This window comes from Homo sapiens, chromosome 7 (genome assembly GCF_000001405.40).
Source record: "Homo sapiens chromosome 7, GRCh38.p14 Primary Assembly".
In the NCBI taxonomy this organism is placed as follows: domain Eukaryota; kingdom Metazoa; phylum Chordata; class Mammalia; order Primates; family Hominidae; genus Homo; species Homo sapiens.
The window spans coordinates 72,809,751-72,828,865 of record NC_000007.14 but is presented as its reverse complement, the minus strand read 5'-3'; the positions used below and the strand labels follow the sequence as shown (position 1 = coordinate 72,828,865).

General features: G+C 45.0%; 1 protein-coding gene and 1 pseudogene across 4 annotated transcripts in view, besides 6 other annotated features; both read left to right on the top strand.

Annotated features, from left to right (window-relative positions):
- Window positions 117-166: an enhancer, noted in NCBI's record as "active region_26119". NCBI's record gives its function as "activates an Ori minimal core promoter by ATAC-STARR-seq in GM12878 lymphoblastoid cells {active_cell/tissue: GM12878}" and the evidence as "EXISTENCE:reporter gene assay evidence [ECO:0000049][PMID:35858748]".
- Window positions 402-696: an enhancer, noted in NCBI's record as "tiled region #3958; HepG2 Activating non-DNase unmatched - State 1:Tss, and K562 Activating DNase matched - State 1:Tss". NCBI's record gives its function as "activates a minimal TATA promoter and a strong SV40 promoter by Sharpr-MPRA in HepG2 and K562 cells {active_cell/tissue: HepG2 | K562}" and the evidence as "EXISTENCE:reporter gene assay evidence [ECO:0000049][PMID:27701403]".
- Window positions 402-756: a biological region, named in NCBI's record as "Sharpr-MPRA regulatory region 3958".
- Window positions 497-756: a silencer, noted in NCBI's record as "silent region_18239". NCBI's record gives its function as "represses an Ori minimal core promoter by ATAC-STARR-seq in GM12878 lymphoblastoid cells {active_cell/tissue: GM12878}" and the evidence as "EXISTENCE:reporter gene assay evidence [ECO:0000049][PMID:35858748]".
- The window catches only part of TYW1B (tRNA-yW synthesizing protein 1 homolog B), a 253,688-nt gene continuing 235,238 nt past the window's right edge, over window positions 666-19,115 (top strand). For all 4 annotated transcript variants that reach the window (NM_001412180.1, NM_001412179.1, NM_001145440.3 and 1 more), the window contains exons 1-4: window positions 666-794; window positions 1,881-2,011; window positions 13,385-13,486; window positions 18,201-18,395. In NM_001412180.1, the coding sequence (NP_001399109.1) occupies window positions 791-794; window positions 1,881-2,011; window positions 13,385-13,486; window positions 18,201-18,395 (432 nt within the window). In that variant the 5' untranslated portion in view covers window positions 666-790. The remainder of the gene's footprint in view (window positions 795-1,880; window positions 2,012-13,384; window positions 13,487-18,200; window positions 18,396-19,115) is intronic.
- RN7SL377P (RNA, 7SL, cytoplasmic 377, pseudogene) lies at window positions 5,695-5,972 on the top strand (annotated as a pseudogene).
- Window positions 7,281-7,780: an enhancer, noted in NCBI's record as "H3K4me1 hESC enhancer chr7:72291665-72292164 (GRCh37/hg19 assembly coordinates)". NCBI's record gives its function as "activates a minimal SCP1, AML or CMV promoter by ChIP-STARR-seq in naive H9 embryonic stem cells {active_cell/tissue: H9 hESC(naive)}" and the evidence as "EXISTENCE:reporter gene assay evidence [ECO:0000049][PMID:30033119]".
- Window positions 7,781-8,282: an enhancer, noted in NCBI's record as "H3K4me1 hESC enhancer chr7:72291163-72291664 (GRCh37/hg19 assembly coordinates)". NCBI's record gives its function as "activates a minimal SCP1, AML or CMV promoter by ChIP-STARR-seq in naive H9 embryonic stem cells {active_cell/tissue: H9 hESC(naive)}" and the evidence as "EXISTENCE:reporter gene assay evidence [ECO:0000049][PMID:30033119]".

Below are 19,115 nucleotides of genomic sequence, written 5' to 3'. Positions count from 1 at the left end.
ATAAATAATTAAAAAAATTTTTTGTACAGACGAGGTCTCACTATGTTGCTCAGGCTGGTCTCGAACTCCTGGGCTCAAGCGATCCTCCCGCTTCGGCTTCCCAAAGTGCTGGGATTACAGGTTTGAGTCACAGCGCCCGGCCGGTTGGGGGTATTTTAAAGAAAGCATCATATGGTTTCAGCATTAAATACTTCAGCCTATAGCCCTTAACAGATACACGCGACGAGATTAACTACAATTCCTTAATATCATCTATTAGATGATATTAAGTCATCCTCGGGGTTTACCCTCGGGGTTTCCCAAAAATAATGCCTTTCTACAGTCGGTTTATTTCAATTAAGATCCAAACAGGCCCACATAGCATTTCCCCCGCTCCCCACTCCTTTCCTCTTTTAATTTTCCCATGCCAATCATTTCTCTCTGGACCCGCCTTTTCCCAGTCTGAGCCAATCCAAACGGAGGCGGAAGCGCTCCGCCCTCATCGCCCGGAACTCCGGGCGGTGCTTATTTCTGGACACGCCCCCTTTCCCCTCTGAGCCAATCGGAGCAGGGCCGAGAGCGCACCGGGCACTGGCTTCCTTTCCCGGAGCTCCGGGCTTTCCTCTGGGCCCACCTCTTCGTCCTCTGAACCAATCAGGACGGGCCTGGCAGCGTCGTAGCTGCCCACAGTTCTGCAGCCACTCGGTACGGCGCTAACGCCGCGAGGTAGCTCGGTGCGTCTCGCAGTACCAGTGCGAACCTTTGGGCTCTCCAGGTCCGAGATCCTAGTCTCCTGTCGGCTCTGAGGAGGATGGGTAAGGGCACTCGGCGGGCAAGGACCCTGGGGCGGCAGGGGAGGTAAACGTTTTACTGAGACCCTCTCCGGGCGGAGTGGCGTCCTCGGTCCCCTTCCTTCGGAGACTGTTGCACTTGACAGCACCGGCTAGCCGCCGCTGAGAGCAAGGAGGACCGATCCCTACTTTTGACCTGGCTTTTGCCTTTTGAGGCTAGGGGGTTAGACAGAAAACTACCCCTCCCACTTTACCCACGTGTATTAGGACTTTTGCACCTGTAAAGCCTAAATTTCAGGCTTCGACTTTTGAAATTGCTGCCAGGTTGAACGTTTGAAGCCAGGTCCTTCCATATCTCTCTTAAAAAAAAAAATGAGACGTAAGGTCAGTTACTTGAGAATCTTTTACAAGTTTAACCGTGAGCCTTTGAAAGTACAGTTAGTAAAAAGAATACTTTTACTACTTAAGCTTTTTTTATGGAGCAAGCACAACAAAACAATTAACTTAATTTCACATGAAGTATTTTTACTTTATGTTCCTTCTCTTGCTTCTAAATGCTCATTTCGAAGTGAAGATACAGTTTTATATTCTGTTTTTTCTTTGAGTTAGTGTTAACAGTATGATAATTTTATTACGTTACTACATAGTGTGTTATTTTTATTACAGTTGATTCCCCCGCCCCCCCCACGAGATGGAGCCTTGCTCTGTCGCCCAGGCTGGAGTGCGGTGGCGCAATCTTGGCTCACTGCAACCTCTGCCTCCCAGGTGCAAGCAGTTCTCCTGCCTCAGCCTCCCGAGTAGCTGGGATTACAGGCGCGCGCCACCATGCCCGGCTAATTTTTGTATTTTTAGTAGAGGCGGGGTTTCACCATGTTGGCCAGGCTGGTCTCGAACTCCTGACCTCAGGTGATCTGCCCGCCTCAGCCACCCAAAGTGCTGGGATTACAGGCATGAGCCACTGTGCCCGGCCAACAGTTGATTTTTAAATTAGATTTCTTAGCTGGGTTGTTGAATGTAAGGTTGGTTTTATTTTCTTCTTAAAATCGGGAAGGATATCTTTGTATATGTAGCTTTAAATGAAATTATCTGTGTGTGTCATTTTAAATTTAGATCCTTCTGCGGATACATGGGACCTCTCCTCACCTTTAATATCATTATGGATAAACAGGTTTTACATTTATCTGGGCTTTGCTGTTAGCATTAGCCTTTGGATTTGTGTCCAGATTGTCATCGAGATGCAGGTAAGTGGAGTTATTTTTTTTAATAGAGTATTTAGGCATCAGATTTTATAGAGGATTTAAACACTAAAAGGAACCTTTAATTACTTTTGTGTTTGGTCTTTAGACATTTTAATGAAATGCCTAAAATAAATTTCTTCTCTAAGTTTTTGGAGACTAAGTTATCTTGGATTAAGTTACTTACTTTTTCTTTGATAGGTGTGTCTCATTTTTAAGATACAGGAAGATTTTTGTAATGAAAAGTGAACCTTTTATATGAAAAACAAATTTGTTTTATACCTTTAAGGGTCAGTAGTCCTCTCTTTCCATTAATTAAGGATCAGAAAATAAGTTCCTACTATTATTCTACTAAAATACCTTATAGGATAAAAGTATGTAAAGTTTTTTCTTGGAGGGAATGGAAATCATGAGCCTTAAAAATGTGGGTCCTGCCTATTAAAGGACCTTATTATACCAAGGGGCTAATATTTGAGGAATACAACCAGAAAGATTTAAGAGAAAAATACAGGTGTGTCAGATTAAGAGAAAAATAAAGTGTGTCAGTATCTGTGCTACCTTTCATCCCTGCTGAAGTTGGGAAACGATTTAGGCTTGATGGATTTTGTGTAATTATTTGTCTTCAAGGGCAGGAACTTACAGGAAAAATCTGTTCCAAAAGCAGCTCAGGATTTGATGACAAATGGTTATGTCTCCCTTCGAGAGAAAGACATCTTTGTGTCTGGAGTGAAGATTTTTTATGGTTCTCAGACTGGAACAGCAAAGTTAAGAAGTTTATATGATGCTTTTCCTTTGGTTTCCTGACATTTTAAGAAAATCCCTTTAGCAGTGAACTTTAGCAGTGAACTGTCCTTTAGCAGTGAACTGAATTGGTCATCTAACCTTCTTTATTCTTTCTCCCAGCCTTTTCCCCTCAAATATTTTTCCTTTCTGCGATGGTAGGCGGGTTTCATCTCCTGTGCCCAGTTAGAGCTGACTGGTGGTGTCTGATGGTCACTGTCTTGAGGGGGCCTTTGTTCTGAAGCTTGCTTCTGCCTCAGCAGGCTAGAGAAAGTTGTGAGTCCATTATCGATGCCCATGGGTATGGAAGTAGGGAATAGGGAAAAAAGGATGGCACCAATAGTTCCAATATGGGCCTGACTTTCACATCACACATCTATGTTTATTTTTTATTTTGTTTTTTGAGACAGAGTCTCACTCTGTCACCCAGGCTGGAGTGCAGTGGCACGATCTCGGCTCACTGCAACCTCCACCTCCACCTCAAGCAATTCTCCTGCCTCAGCCTCCCGAGTAGCTGGGATTATAGGTGCCTGCTACCACGCTCTGGCTAATCTTTGTATTTTTAGTAGAGATGGGGTTTTGCCACGTTGGCTGGGCTGCTCTCAAACTCCTGGGCTCAGGTGATGCGCCTGCCTCGGCCTCCCAAAGTGCTGGGATTACAGGCGTGAGCCACTGCACCTGGCCTCACGTCACACATCTATGTAATGAAACTTGTTTTGATTTCTAATAGTGCTAAAAGTGTTAAAGGTAGACACTAAAGTAAATACAGCTGATATCTAGTTGAAAGATGCTTCCCATTCTCTCTTTTTTGGGGGGGAACAGTGTCTGGCTGTAGTGCCATCTAAGCTTCAGTTGCTTATCTGTGAAATGGTAAATTGCAGATGGTAATAGTGTGGTTATCTCAGGGTCACTGTGAGGATTTAGTGAGATTATCTGGTATGTACTTTGATTTCTCCTTTTTGCTTTTTTTTTTTTTTTTGGAGACAGGGTCTCTCTGTTGCCCAGGCTGGAGTGCAGTTGTGCCATCTTCACTCACTGCAACCTCTGCCTCTCGGGCTCAAGGCATCCTCCCACCTCAGCCTCCTGAGTATCTGGGACTATAGGTGCATGCCACCATACCCAGCTAATTTTTGTATTTTTTGTAGAGATGGGGTTTTGCCATGTTGCCCAGGCTGGTCTTAAACTCTTGGGCTCAAGCAATCTGCCCACCTGGCCTCCTAAAGTGTTGGGATTACAGTCGTGAGCCACCGTGCCCAGTCCCATTCTCTAATTATATCTAGATGCTACCTGTTTCTGTGTTACAAGGTCACAGCTATTTAAAAAAAATTTATTTTATTTTTGAGATGGTATCTCACTCTGTCCCCCAGCCTGGAGTGCAGTGGTGTGATCTCGGCTCACCACAACCTCCGCCTCCTGGGTTCGAGCAATTCTCCTGCCTCAGCCTCCCTAGTAGCTGGGATTACAGGTGCCTGCCATCACATCTGGTTAATTTTTGTATTTTTAGTAGAGACGAGGTTTCACCATATTGGCCAGGCTGCTCTCGAACTCCTGACCTCAGATGAGTCACCCGCCTCAGCCTCCTAAAGTGCTGGGATTACAGGCGTGAGGCACCGCTCCCAGCCAAAAAATTTATTTAATTTTTTTGTAGAGACAAGATCTTGCAATCTTGTCCAGGCTGGTCTTGAATTCCTGGCTTCAAGATATTCACCCACCTTGGCCCTCAAAGTGCTGAGATGATAGGCATGAGCCACCAGGCCTAGCCAGGTCACAGGTAGTTAGTGCTTTCTAGGAAAAGATTTTAAGGAAGGCTAGCATGAAAATAAATTAGAGGAAAAATCAAGGTCTGTTATTTTTGTGGACTACTTCAGAGGGTTCTACTGCCCTCTTGTGGAAGTTGCGCAGAATAGTACTTCTTAGGTTTTCACTACTTGAGTGCAGATACTTTGCTTCATTTTACAGTCGAAGGTCAGTTGTTAAGTTAAACCTTAAGCAGTGGAGGTGGGAAACCTGAAAAAAAGCAAAAAGGTGTCTGAGCAGCCAAAGCAAAGTCCTTTTAATGTTACTTATAAAAAACCTTTTTCAGAGCCTCTTTATGCATGTTTTTACCTTTTTAAAAAAAAATGATCAAAAAGATCAAACGAATACTTGCAGATGGTAACAAATCCAGGTGTACAGAAAGTTAATAATGAAATGTACTCTCCAGAAACCTTGTAACTATTTCTATTTTTAGTTCCTCTGATGCTTATGCTGTGTTTCTAGATTTATCAACATTACATAAAAGTTATTGACTATATTAATTAGTTTATACAAACAGCCCTCAAGTCTCAGTGGCTTAATGTTGCTGTCCATATCATAGTTGATTTTGGGGTAGATAGCCATCTTCCATCTTAAAGCTGCGCCATCTGAATTTATTTTTATTTATTTTATTTTATTTCATTTATTTTTTATTTATTTATTTTTTTGAGATGGAGTCTCCCTGTGTCGCCAGGCTGGAGTGCAGTGGCGCGATCTCGGCTCACTGCAACCTCTGCTTCCCGGGTTCAAGCGATTCTTCTGCCTCAGCCTCCTGAGTAGCTGGGACTATAGGCGCCCACCACTACGCCCAGCTAGTTTTTGTATTTTTAGAAGAGATGGGGTTTCACCATGGTGGTCTGACTGGTCTCGAACTCCTGACCTCGTGATCTGCCCGCCTTGGCCTCCCAAAGTGTTGGGATTACAGGCGTGAGCCACCGTGCCCGGCCTTTATTTTTATTTTTTAAGAGACAAGGTCTTGGCCCGGCGTGGTGGCTCACGCCTGTAATCTCAGCACTTTGGGAGGCCGAGGTGGGCAGACCACTTGAGGCCAGGAGTTCAAGACCAGCCTCGGCAACAAAGCAAAACCCCATTTCTACTAAAAATACAAAAAATTAGCTGGGCGTGGTGGTGCACGCCTGTAATTCCAGCTACTTGGGAGGCTGAGGCAGGAGAATTGCTTGCATCTGGGAGGTGGAGGTTGCAGTGAGCCTAGATTGCACCACTGCACTCCAGCCTGGGTGGCAGAGTGAGAACCTGTCTCAAACAAAAAAAAAAAAGGAAAGAAGAAAAAAAGAGATAGGGTCTTGCTCTGTCACCCAAGCTGGAGTGCAGTGGCATGATTTTAGTTCACTGCAGCCTCGACCTCTTGGGCTTCAGCAATTCTCCTGACCCACCCTCCTGGGTAGATGAGAATATGGGCTTGTGCCACCATGCTGGGCTAATTAAAAAAATTTTTTTTGTAGAGATGGGGTCTCCTTATGTTGCCCAGGCTGGTCTTGACTCCTGGCCTCAAGCGATCCTTCTGTCTAGGGTTAGAGGCATGAATCACCATGCCCAGCCCATCTCAATATTGGGCTAGGATTACAGGATAGGATTACAGGTGTGAGCCACTGTGCCCAGCCCATCTCAATATTTCTTCATTCTGCTGTTGGATTTGATTGATTCGGATTTGGTCATGTATAGAAGACTATTAAAAACTTTTGCCTCAGAAGGCGTAGCTTCATTGTCTTCCAGCATGTTAGTATTGCTAATGAGAAGGCAAATTTGTAGATGACTTGATTATTTTGTTTCTGGAAGATTTTCGGATCATTTCTTTGTCCTTGATTTCTGGAAATTTTATGGGAAGGTGACTATTTGGATCTTTTTCAGCTATTGTTCTGTATACTTGAATTTTTTTGTTTTGACGATTTGTATGCATTTTGACGATTTGTGTGCATTAGTTCTGTTAATATTTCTTGGATGAATTTTTTTTCCCTTTTCATTTCTTTTTTTCTGGGATTCCTGTGGGATGTTCTACCTTTTGGATCGTCTTCTGTGTCTCAGATCTTTTCTCTTATATTTTTGTAACTTTTTCTTTTTATTCTTCTTTTTTCTTCTTCTTCTTTTTTTTTTTTTTTTTTTTTTGAGACAGGGTCTTACTCTGTCACCCAGGCTGGAGTGCAGTGGCATTGGCCTCCCAAAGTGCTGGGATTTTTGTATTTTTAGGGGAGATGGGGTTTCTGCATGTTGGCCAGTCTGGTCTCAAACTCCTAGCCTCAAGTGATTCACCCGCCTCGGCTACTGAAAGTGTTAGGATTACAGGCTTGAGCCACGTGCCTGGCCCTAAATTTCTGTTTCTAATCTTAACTGTTTCTCTCAACTCCAGACTTTCATATCGAGTTACCTTTCTTAGAGCATCATATGAATGTCTAGTAAGCATCTTAACATCAGTTTGCTCAAAACTGAACTCCCAATTTTCTGCCCAAGCCTGCTCTACTTGTAATCCTTACAATTTCAGTAAATGACAACTTTATCCTTCCAGTTGCTTGGTCCAAAACACCTTTTGACTTCTTTTTATACAACCCATGTCCAGTTTGTCAGCAGATTCTGTTTGTTCTACTTTAAGAATAGATTCAGTTTCCAATCACTTCTTACCACCTTCACTGCTACTCCCCTGGTCCATGCCATTGTCAACCTAAATACCATAGAGAGGCTCTCCAAAAGAAAAGATGTTTGTTTGGGAATAGCACGTACATTGCAATGGGGATACAATTGCCATAGTAAACTGCATGTATTCAGGGAAGTAAAGGAAGGCAAAGATTTTTAAGGGAAAAAATGAGGATTACAGAATTGTTTTGAAATAATTATTCTTGCCTACAAAGGTTAATAACAAAGGTGACACAATCCAAGGTTGGACATGAAGTTGCTGGGCAGATGTCCTTGCAGTAGTATTTTTTGTGTAAGGTTGCAGTGGTTTTTGTGCAAGGTTGTATTTTTTGTAGAATCTTTCTCATTATCAGGAATTTGAGTGTGAGGACAGGTGTGATGGCTCATGCCTGTAATCCCAGCAGTTTAGGAGGCTGAGGCAGGTGGGTCACTTGAGGTCAGGAGTTTGAGATTAGCCTGGCCAACATGGCAAAACCCCATTTGTACTAAAAAATACAAAAATTAGCCTGGTGTGGTGGCACATGCCTGTAATCCCAGCTACATGGGAGGCTAAGGCACGAGAATCACTTGAACCCGGGAGGCAGAGGTTGCAGTGAGCCAAGATGGCGCCACTGCACTCCAGCCTGGGGGACAGAGTGAAACCTTGTCTCAACAACAACAACAAAAAAAATCTAAGTGTGCGAATTCTTTGTCTTCCGTAGCTCTTACTGTCAGGGATATTTTCGCATAAGTAACTCCATGTTGTTGATTCTCACAGCTTTGACACCGCCATGATATTTTGTCTGGATTTGGACAGTCATCTCACCATTGACTTCTGCTATAATTTGTTGTTTGTTCCCCCAAAACTGATGTTGAAATTTGATCCCTCACATTGGTGATGGGCCTAATGGGAGGTGTTTGGGTCCTGGGGGCAGATCCCTCCTGAATAGATGAATCCCTGGGGGAGGGGTGAGTGAGTTCTTGCTGTCTTAGTTCCCAAGAGAGCTTGTTGGTAAGAAGAGCCTGGAACCTCTCCTGCACTCTTGTTTCCTCTCTTGCTATGTGATCTTTGTGCTCGCCAGCTCCCTTTCACTTCTACTCTGCCAGGAGTAGAAGCAGCCTGGAGCCCTCACCAGATGTAGATGTCCAATCTTGAACTTTTTCAGATATCAGAATTGTGAACCAAATAAACCTTTTTATGGTGGCCCATAACAGTTTTTCCTTTACATAGTTAGCACTTCCTTAAGGACCTCTTGTAAGGCAGGTCTGGTTGTAATAAATTCCCTTAGCATTTGTTTGCCTGAAAGGATCTTGTTTCTCCTTCGCTTATGAAGCTTAATTTGGCTGGATATGAAATTCTTGGTTGAAATTTCTTGTTTTCTTTTTTGAGACAGAGTCTTTCTCTGTCATCCAGGCTGGAGTGCAGTGGTGCGATCTCAGCTCACTGCAACCTTCGCCTCCTGGGTTCAAGTGATTCTCTTGCCTCAGCCTCCCGAGTAGCTGGGACTACAGGTGTGCGCCACCACACCTGGCTAATTTTTGCATTTTTAGTAGAGATGGGGTTTCACCATGTTGGTCAGGCTGGTCGCAAACTCCTGACCTCAGGTAATCCACCCATCTTGGCCTCCCGAAGTGCTGGGATTACAGATGTGAGCCACCATGCCCTGCTTGAAATTTCTTTTCTTTAAGAATGCTCAATATAGGCCCCAATCTCTTCTGGATTGTAGGGTTTCTGCTGACAGGTCCACTGTTACCCTGATGGGATTCCCTATGTAGCTGACCTGCCCCTTCTCTCTAGTTGCCTTTAACATTTTTTCTTTCATTTCGACTTTGGAGAATCTGATGATTTTGTGTCTTGGGGATGGCCATCTTATGTAATATCTCACTGGGGTTCTCTGCATTAAATAAACCTTTTTAAAACATAGATTGGGCTAGGCACAGTGGCTCACGCCTATAATCCCAGCACTTTGGGAGGCCAAGGCAGGTGGATCACTTGAGCCCAGGAGTTCGAGACCAACCTGTGCAACACGGCAAAACTCTATCTCTACAAAAAATTCAAAAATTAGTCAGGCATGGTGGCGTGTGCCTGTAGTCCTAGCTACTCGGGTGGCTGAGGTGGGAGGATTGCTTGAGCCCAGGAGGTCAAGGCTGCAGTAAGCCGTGACTGTGCCACTGCACTTCAGCCTGGGCGACAGAGTGAGACCTTCTCTCAAAAAAATAAAAGACATAGATTACCCAGTCTCAGGTACTCCTTTATAGCAAAATGGACTAAGACAGTCTTTCTGATTCAGTACCACTCGGCCCTCTTCTGACTCCAGTATACTCTCAACTCAGCAACCTCAGTGACTGTTTGAAAAGTTAGGTGAAATCATGTCATCCCTCTGCTTAAAACCCTGCGCTGACCCCTTCATTCAAGAGTCAATGCTTGAGTCCTCACAGTGGCCCAGAGATCCTACACGTGTGGCTCTTTGTTAACTCTCTTACCCCATCTCCTTGGTTCCCTTTTTTTCAGTCTTAATAACCTCCACTGGGCCTTTGCAGTTCACTGTTCCTGCCGCCTGGGATAACCTCATGGTTTTCCCAGTTCCTTCAGCTTTGGCTCAAATCTCACTTTATCCTTGTGTTAGTCTCTTTTGCATTGCCATAAAGGAATACCTGCAGCTGGGTAATTGATATGGTTTGGATCTGTGTCCCCACCAAATCTGATGTCGAATCGTAGTCCCCAGTGTTGGAGGTGGGGCTTGGCGGGAGGTGCTTAGATCTTGAGGGCAGATTTCGCATGAGTGGTTTAGCACCATCTCCCTTGTACCGTCCTCGTGACAGTGAGTGAGTTCTCATGAGATCTGGCTGTTTAAAAGTGTGTGGCACCTCCTCCTTCTCTCTCTTGTTCCTGCCATGTCATGTGCCTGCTCCTCCTTTGCCTTCCACCAAGATTGGAAGCTCCCTGAGGCCTCTTCAGAAGCAGATGTCGTTACACTTCCTGTACAGTCTGCAGAACTGTGAGCCAATTAAACGTCTTTTTTTTAATAAATTGCCCAGTCTCAAGTATTTCTTTTTTCCTTTTTTTTTTTTTTTTTTTTTTTGAGATGGAGTCTCGCTTAGTTGCCCAGGCTGGAGTACAGTGGTGTGGTCTCGGCTCACTGCAGCCTCTGCCTCCCAGGCTCAAGCGATCCTTCCACCTCAGCCTCCCAAGTAGCTGGACCACAGGTATATGCCACCACACCCAGCTAATTTTTTGTATTTTTGGTAGAGATGGGGTTTCACCATGCCCAGGCTGGTCTCGAACTCCTGACCTCAAGTGATCCACCCGCCTCAGCCTCCCAAAGTGCTGGGATTACAGGCATGAGCCACCATGCCCGGCCGGGTATTTTTTAATAGCAATGCAAGAATGGACTAATACTGTGATTTATAAAGAAAAGAGGTTTATTTGGTTCATGGTTCTGCAGACTGTACAAGCATGGTGCCAACATCCACTTGGCTTCTGGCAAAGCTTCAGGAAGCTTCCACCCATGGAGGAATAGGTACCACATGGTGAGAGAGGGAGCAAAGGAGTAGGGAGAGATGTGAGGCTTTTTTTTTTTTTTTAACAGCCAGCTATGAACTGATAGGGCAAGAACTCAACACCAAGGGGAGGGCGGCAAGCTGAGGTAGGAAAGTAGAGTCTGGAGACAGAGCCTAAGGCCAACCTGTGGCTGACTTCCTTGAATTAAACTGAAAGGAAAGCTTTAGCCTCTGATTGGCTGTGGGCTAATTCTTTATTTGCAGAGGGTGTAACTCCACTGCAGCCTCTGATTGGCCATGAGCCAATTCTTCATTTGCATAGGGTGTAACCAATTGGAAGCCTCCAAAGGGTACCTGGGGGTGTTACCAAATTCTTCTAGCTTAATAAAAACCCAAGGAACATTACAACTGGAGCTCTTGAGCCACTTGCTCAAGCCTGCCTCCTCTCTGTAGAGTGTACCTTCCCATCAATAAATCTGTGTTTTTGTTGCTTCACTTGTGCATTTTTTTCAATTCTTTGTTCAACATGTGAAGAACCTGGACAACTCCTAGTCAAGACCCTCCACTGGTAACAAAGCCACTCATGAGGGACCCACCCCCATGACCCAAACACCTCCTATTCGAGCTCACTTCCAACATTGGAGATTACGTGTTAATGATATTTGGAGGGGACGAATATCCAAACCATATCAGTCCTTGAGGCCTGCTGCAGTACTGTTTTCTGACCCCCAAATACCTTTTTTCTTTTTTTTTGAAATGGAGTCTCGCTCTGTTGTCTAGGCTGGAGTGCAGTGGTACGATCTCGGCTCACTGCAACCTCCGCCTCCTGGGTTCGAGCAGTTCTCCTCCCTCAGCCTCCCAGGTAGGTAGCTGGGATTACAGGTGCCCACCACCACTCCCGGCTAATTTTTGTATTTTTAGTAGAGATGGGGTTTCACCATGTTGGTCAGGCCGGTCTCGAACTCCTGACCTCAGGTGATCTGTCTGCCTTGGCTTCCCAAAGTGTTGGGATTACAGGTGTGAGCCACCACGCCCGGCCAACCTGTCCTTTTTCTATACCAGTTCTCATGCTTACTATTGGGAGTTATCATTAGCCCACAAGACTGCCCCCACTTCAGACACCAGTCACAAGTCCCAGCTTTAAATTTAGGGTTCCACACCACTGCCTCCTCAGGTTCTATAGGATGACTCACAGACCTCAGGAAGTTGCTTGACTTATGTTTACTGGTTTATTATAAAGGATGCAACTCAGGAACGGCCGAATGGAAGAGCTGCACAGGGCCAGCTATGGAGGGGTGGGGGTTGAGCAGGGCTTCCAGGCCGTTTCTGGCCGTGTCTTCTCCCCAGCACGTTGGTATGTTCACCAAGTCAACAGTCTCCATTGTTCAGGGGTTTTTCTTGGAGGCTCCATTACATAGGCACTATTGATTAAATCATTGGCCTTGGTGATTAAGCTCAATCTCCAGCCCCTCTTCTTTCCTTAGTGTTCTCTGTTGGGGCTGGGGTAGGAGGTGCTGAGTTTAACCTCTCATCAGTTTCTCTGGCAATGAGCCTCTGTCCTGAAGCTACCTGAGGCCTCACCCCAGTAAGTCATCTCATTAGCGTACAAAAGATATTCATTCCATCTTTTGTTGTAGTGGCTGCTCCCAACCCAGAGCTTCTCTGGGGTTCTGACAGCCCTGTGAACTCTTCCCTAGGGCTTTTTCCTGTCTGTCAACCGTCTTCTTTTCATGTTTCCCATTCTTTTCACTCTTCACTCTTTCTTTTATTTTATTTATTTATTTATTTTGGAGATGGAGTTTTGTTGCCCAGGCTGGAGTGCAATGGTGCAATCTTGGCTCACTGCAACCTCTGCCTCCTGGATTCAAGTGATTCTCCTGCCTCAGCCTCCCGAGTAGCTGGGATTATAGGTGTGTGCCACCACGCTTGGCTAATTTTGTATTTTTAGTAGAGACGGGGTTTTACCATGTTGGTCAGGCTGGTCTCGAATTCCTGACTTCAAGTGATCCAGCCGCATCGGCCTCCCAAGGTACTGGGATTACAGTTGTGAGCCACTGTGCCCAGCCCATTCTTCACTATTTCTTTTTGCACTTCTCTGTGTTTATTGTTTTTTAATATGTTATTTTCTTTATGAGACAGGATCTCAGTCTGTGGCCCAGGCTAGAGTGCATTGGTGTGATCATAGCTCACTGTATCCTCTAACCCCTGGGCTCAGGGGATCCTTCCTTCTCAGCCTCTTGAGTAGCTGGGACTACAGGTGTGTACCATCACACCTGGCTAATTTTTAAATTTTTTTTATAAAGATGAGGTCTCACTTTGTTGCCCAGGCTTGGCCTCAAGTGGTCCTCCCACTTCAGCCTCCCAAAGTGCTGGGATTACAGGCATGAGCCATCTTGCCTGGCTGATATGTTTATTCTAGTAGGGCAAGGCAGATTGATCATCCAAAGCCAAATTAGATTCAGTCCTACGTAAACCCTGATCGGGTGAGAACAACACAATTGAATGATCTCGGTAATGGTGCCCAAGAAAATGGTAAGAGTGCGGATAGAATTTGGGTTCATATCAGTCACTGAAAACATTTTTCATGAGGAATGCCACATTCTTGTGCCAACAGGGGTAAATGAGGGCTATATTTGGCTCATTGAAGACTTTATTTGAAGTTTTTTTTTGTCCTATTAGGGATTTGCAACAGTTCTTGCTGAAGCAGTTACGTCCCTGGATCTGCCTGTGGCCATTATTAATCTAAAAGAATATGATCCAGATGATCATCTGATAGAAGAGGTTGGTAATTGTCTTTTTCTTCAATCAAAACTCTCAAATTTAACTGATCTGCAATCTTCACAGTAAATTTAATTAGATAACTAGAATCTTCAGAATAAATTTAATTTTCGTGCTAAGGGATTTCAGTTAGTTGAATTCCAGTGTGAATCAGAGAACTGAATGTGGGGTGAGGTTCACTGATTCTCACGTGGTGTGGGGCTTGTTCTTCAGGTGTGTTAAATTCTCCTGGGGCAGGACTAGAGGTGAGAAAGCTTGGGTGGTTGGAAGTTCACTCCTTCCCACAATTTTCTTTTTTTTTTTTTTTTTTTTTTGAGATGGAGTCTCACTGTGTCACCCAGGCTGGAGTGTAGTCGTGCAATCTCAGTTCAGTGCAGTGTCCGTCTCCAGGTTCAAGTGATTCTCCTGCCTCAGCCTCCCAAGTAGCTGGGATTTACAGGCATGTGTCACCATGCCCAGCTAATTTTTTTTTTTTTTTTTGCTAGAGTTGAGGTTTCACCATGTTGGCCAGGCTGGTCTCAAATTCCTGGCCTCAAGTGATCCACCTGCCTTGGCCTCCCAAAGTGCTGGGATTATAGGCGTGAGCGACTGTGCCTGACCCCTACTATTTTTATTTTTTTTGAATTTATTTTATTGAGACAGGCTCTCATTCTCTCACCCAGGCTCTGGAGTGCAGTGGTGCAATTTCAACCTCCCGGGCTCAAGTGATCCTCTTTCCTCAGCCTCCTAAAGTAGCTGAGACTATAGGCATGTGCTGCCATGCCCTGCTAATTTTAAAAGTTTTTTTTGTTTTTTTTTTGAGACGGAGTCTCGCTCTGTCACCCAGGCTGGAGTGCAGTGGCGCGATCTCGGCTCACTGCAAGCTCCGCCTCCCGGGTTCACACCATTCTCCTGCCTCAGTCTCCTGAGTAGCTGGGACTACAGGCACACGCCACCACGCCCGGCTAATTTTTTGTAGTTTTAGTAGAGATGGGGTTTCACCGTGTTAGCCAGGATGGTCTCGATCTCCTGACCTCGTGATCCGCCCGCCTCGGCCTCCCAAAGTGCTAGGATTATAGGCATGAGCCACCGTGCCCGGCCAAAAGATTTTTTATAGAGATACGGTCTCACTGTGTTGCCCAGGCGGGTCTGGAACTCCTGGCCTCAGTCTCCCAAAGTACTAGGATTACAGATATGCCCAGCCTTCCCCCGTATTTCGAATCTCTTAATCAAGGAAGGGTTGTTATTGATGGCAGTGTGCTATGCTGGTAGGCCATGGGCGATCCAACCAAAAGGTCAAGAGCAGAGAGTATGGGTTTCGGAATCAGAGAAATCTCTTATTAGCTGTGTGACCTCAATGCATTGGTTAATATCTTTTTTTTTTTTTTTTAATGGAGTTTTGCTCTTGTTGCCCAGGCTGGAGTGCAATGGTGTGATCTTGGCTCACTGCAACCTCCAGCTCCAGGGTTTAAGTGATTCTCCTGCCTCAGCCTCCTGAGTAGCTGGGATTACAGGTGCCCACCACCACACCTGGCTAATTTTTGTATTTTTAACAGACATGGGGTTTCATTATATTGGCCATGCTTGTGTCGAACTCCTGACATCAGGTGATTTATTTGCCTCGGCCTCCCATAGTGCTGGGATTACAGGCATGAGCCACTGTGCCTGGGCGCATTACTTAATATCTATGAAGATTTAATTTCTTCATCTGAAAAATATTCCTCCCCTTTTTTCTCCAGTCATGCCCAGTTAGGGGATTTCACCCTACAGCAGTGGTTCTCAAAGTGTGGCCCCTGAGCCAGCAGCATCAGCATCTCCTGTGAACTTGCTAGAAATGCAGAATCTCAGGTCTTAGCCTGGCTGCACTGTAGAGCTTAAACAATGCTCCTGGTGATGCTGACGCAGGTAGAGTTAGAGAAGCAGTTAGAGGCTGGGCGTGGTGGCCCACGCCTGTAATCCCAACACTTTGGGAGTCCGAGGTAGGTGGATCACCTGTGGTCAGGAGTTCGAGACCAGCCTGGCCAACATGGTGAAACCACGTCTTTACTAAAAATACAAAAATTAGCTGGGCTTGGTGGTGGGTGCCTGTAATCCCAACTACTCGGGAGGCTGAGGCAGGAGAATTGCTTGAACCTGGGAGGTGGAGGTCGCAGTGAGCCGAGATTGCGCCATTGCCCTCTAGCCTGGGCGACAAAAGCAAATCTCTGTCTCAAAAAAAAAAAAAAAAAAAAAGAAGAAGTATGTAGAGCTGGGGTTGACAAACTTTCACGTAAAGGGCCAGGTAGTATCTTCACCTTTGTGGGCTGGGCAGCTACTCAGTTTTGCCACTGAGGCACAAAACAGCCATAGATAATATGTAAATGAATGAATATGGCTGTGTTCCACTAAAACTTTCTTTAAAAAAAACAGAGGCCAGGTGGGGTGGCTCTTGCCTATATAATCCCAGCAAGTTGAGAGGTCAAGGCTGGTGGATCGCTTGAGCTCAGGCATATGAGAGCAGCCTGGGCAATGTGGTGAAACCCTGTCTCTATTAAAAATAGAAAAATTAGCCATGGTGGTGCACGCCTGTAGTCCCAGCTACTTGGGAGGCTGAGGCATGAGAATTGCTTAAACTCGGGAGGTGGAGGTTGCAGTGAGCTGAGATCATGCCACTGCACTCCAGCCTGGGTGAGTGAGACTCTGTCTCAAAAAAAAAAAAAAAACCCCAAAAGGCAGCAAGCAAGATGTGGCTCGTGGATTGTAGTTTACCGGCCCTGTCTTAGTGGTTAAATATCTAGCTTTAACTCTGTCCATTTCTTTGTCCCCCAAGAAAATGTATTGGTGTGCACATGAGTGAGCTTGAATGTGCTCTAAATTATTTGTGAAAAATTATTAGCAAACTTTGATACTTGTAACTAAGAGATTACTTGTAACTTACCTCATGACTTGGAACTCTTAAGATGAATTCAAACACCAGGCTATCAAGACTAAGGATACACAGGTTGAGAATCCCTGAACCGCAAATTGGAAATGCTTTAAAATCTACACTTCTGGAGCGCTGACAGGAGGCCACAAGTGGAAAATTTCGCACCTGACCTCCTGTGATGGGTCAAGGTCAAAACGCAGTCGAAACTTTGTTTCATATATGAAATTGTCAAAAATATTGTATAAAGTTATCTACAGGCTATGTGTGTAAGGTGTATATGAAACAAAGGAATTTTGTGTTTAGACTTGATACATCCCCAAGGTACATCATTATGTATATGCAGATTTAAAAAAAAAAAACACCTCTAAAATCCAAAACACTTCCCATCCCAAACATTCTGGATAATGGATACCCAGCCTGTATTTTGTTTCCCTGGGATTTGCAACAGTTCTGTTTAGATAATGGTGCCAAGTGTTAAATTACTTAATGTTTAAAAATTTTTATTGCTTTAATTTATTAGATAATTTTTTAGAGATCTCTCTGTATTTTTTCTTTTCTTTTCCTTTTTTTTTTTTTTTTGAGATGGAGTCTTCGCTTCGTTGCCCAGGCTGGAGTGCAGTGTGCAGGGGTGTGATTGTGGCCCACTGCAGCCTCTGCCTCCTGGGCTAAAGCAGTTTTCCTGCCTCAGCCTCCCGAGTAGCTGGAACTACAGGCACCCACTACCACGCCTGCCTAGTTTTTGTATTTTTAGTAGAGACGGGGTTTCACTCTGTTGCTTAGGCTGGTCTTGAACTCCTGACCTCAAGTGATCCACCCGCCTCAGCCTCCCAAAGTCCTGGGATTACAGGTATGAGCCACTGGGCCCAGCCAACATCCACTGCCTTGATATGGATATTCACAGCTTCCTGCCTGAGGAGATGGTAATGAACCGAGAACATGGTTCCCCTATTCTTTGGAGATTTCAGAGATTTAAAACAATCTCAAACACCAAATACAACTCTTATTGGATAAGCAAGGTCACCACATTCCTCGTCTTTCTGACACCACAGAGCAGCTTCCACTCTAAGGAAGCAGTAACGTGAGCTGTTGTTTTCTCTTCAGGTTTGAAACTCAGGTGCCTTATTTTCCCCAGGTGTGTTCTTCCATTAGTAGCCACCGTGCCTGGCCATCTCTCTGCATTTTTTCTTTTCTTTTTTCTTTTTTCTTTCTTTCTTTTTTTTTTTTTTTTGAGATGGAGTCTTGCTCTGTCGCCCAGGCTGGAGTGCAGTGGCGCGATCTCGGCTCACTACAAGCTCTGCCTCCTGGGTTCACGCCATTCTCTTGGCTTAGCCTCCTGAGTAGCTGGGACTACAGGCGCCCACCACCACGCCTGTCTAATTTTTTGTATTTTTAGTAAAGACCGGGTTTCACCGTGTTAGCCAGGATGGTCTCGATCTCCTGACCTTGTGATCCGCCCGCCTCAGCCTCCCAAAGTGCTGGGATTACAGGCTTGAGCCACCGCACCCGGCCTGTATTTTTTCTTGATTGATTTGGATTTTGTTTCCACTGTGGCAAATCAGCAATGATGAGAATGTATAGTCTGGATAATGGAATGGCGTATATGATGAAATATACCAGGAGGTATATTGGCAGGAGCAAGGGACTGGGTTTTCTCCCCCGTGCAAGCTGTTCTTGCTGTGTTTCTTAGTCAGGCCCTTCACTTTCGAAAATGAGCCATGTTTATGAAGGTACCCTTTGTTCTTTGAGATGAGTATGCTTTTTTTCAAAGGATTTTCTTCGTTGAGATAATTTATGCCTTGTATGTTCCACTGAAACAATTACTTTCTTGGTTAGGTGACTAGTAAAAATGTCTGTGTCTTCCTGGTTGCGACATACACTGACGGCCTACCAACCGAAAGTGCAGAGTGGTTCTGCAAATGGTTAGAGGAAGCATCCATTGATTTTCGATTTGGCAAAACTTACCTGAAGGGTATGAGAGATGCGGTATTTGGCCTGGGAAATTCTGCCTATGCTAGCCACTTCAACAAGGTAGGTCTATATTGAATTATAGGAATAAATTCTCCCCATAAACACACACACACACGCACACACACGTACACACACACAAACACACGTGCACACACGTACACACACATAAACACACATGTATGTGAAATAATCCACAAACTTTGGTAGCTAGTAATAAATACATTTCTTCTATTATTTTATTTATTGATTGATTGAGATAGAGTTTTGCTCTGTCACCCAGGCTGGAGTGCAGTGGCACCATCTCAGCTCACTGCAACTTCTAGCTCCCGGGTTCAAGTGATTCTCCTGCCTCAACCTCCCGAGTAGCTGGGATTACAGGCATGTGCCACCACGCTTGGCCAATTTTTGTATTTTTACTAGAGACGGGGTTTCACCATGCCAGCCAGGCTAGTTGTGAACTCCTGGCCTCATGTGATCTGCCCAAAGTGAGCCACTGTGCCCAGCCTCTTCTGTGTTTTTTTTTTTTTTTTTGGAAACAGAGTCTTGCTCTATCCCCCAGCTGGAGTGCAGTGGCGTGATCTCAGCTGACTGCAACCTCCGCCTCCTGCGTTCAAGTGATTCTCATTTATCAGCCTCCCGAGTAGCTGGGATTACAGGCACCCACCACCATGCCTGGCTAATTTTTTTGTATTTTTAGTAGAGACAGGGTTTCACCATGTTGGCCAAGCTGTTTGAACTCCTGACCTCAGGTGATCCACCCACCTCGGCCTCCCAGAGTGC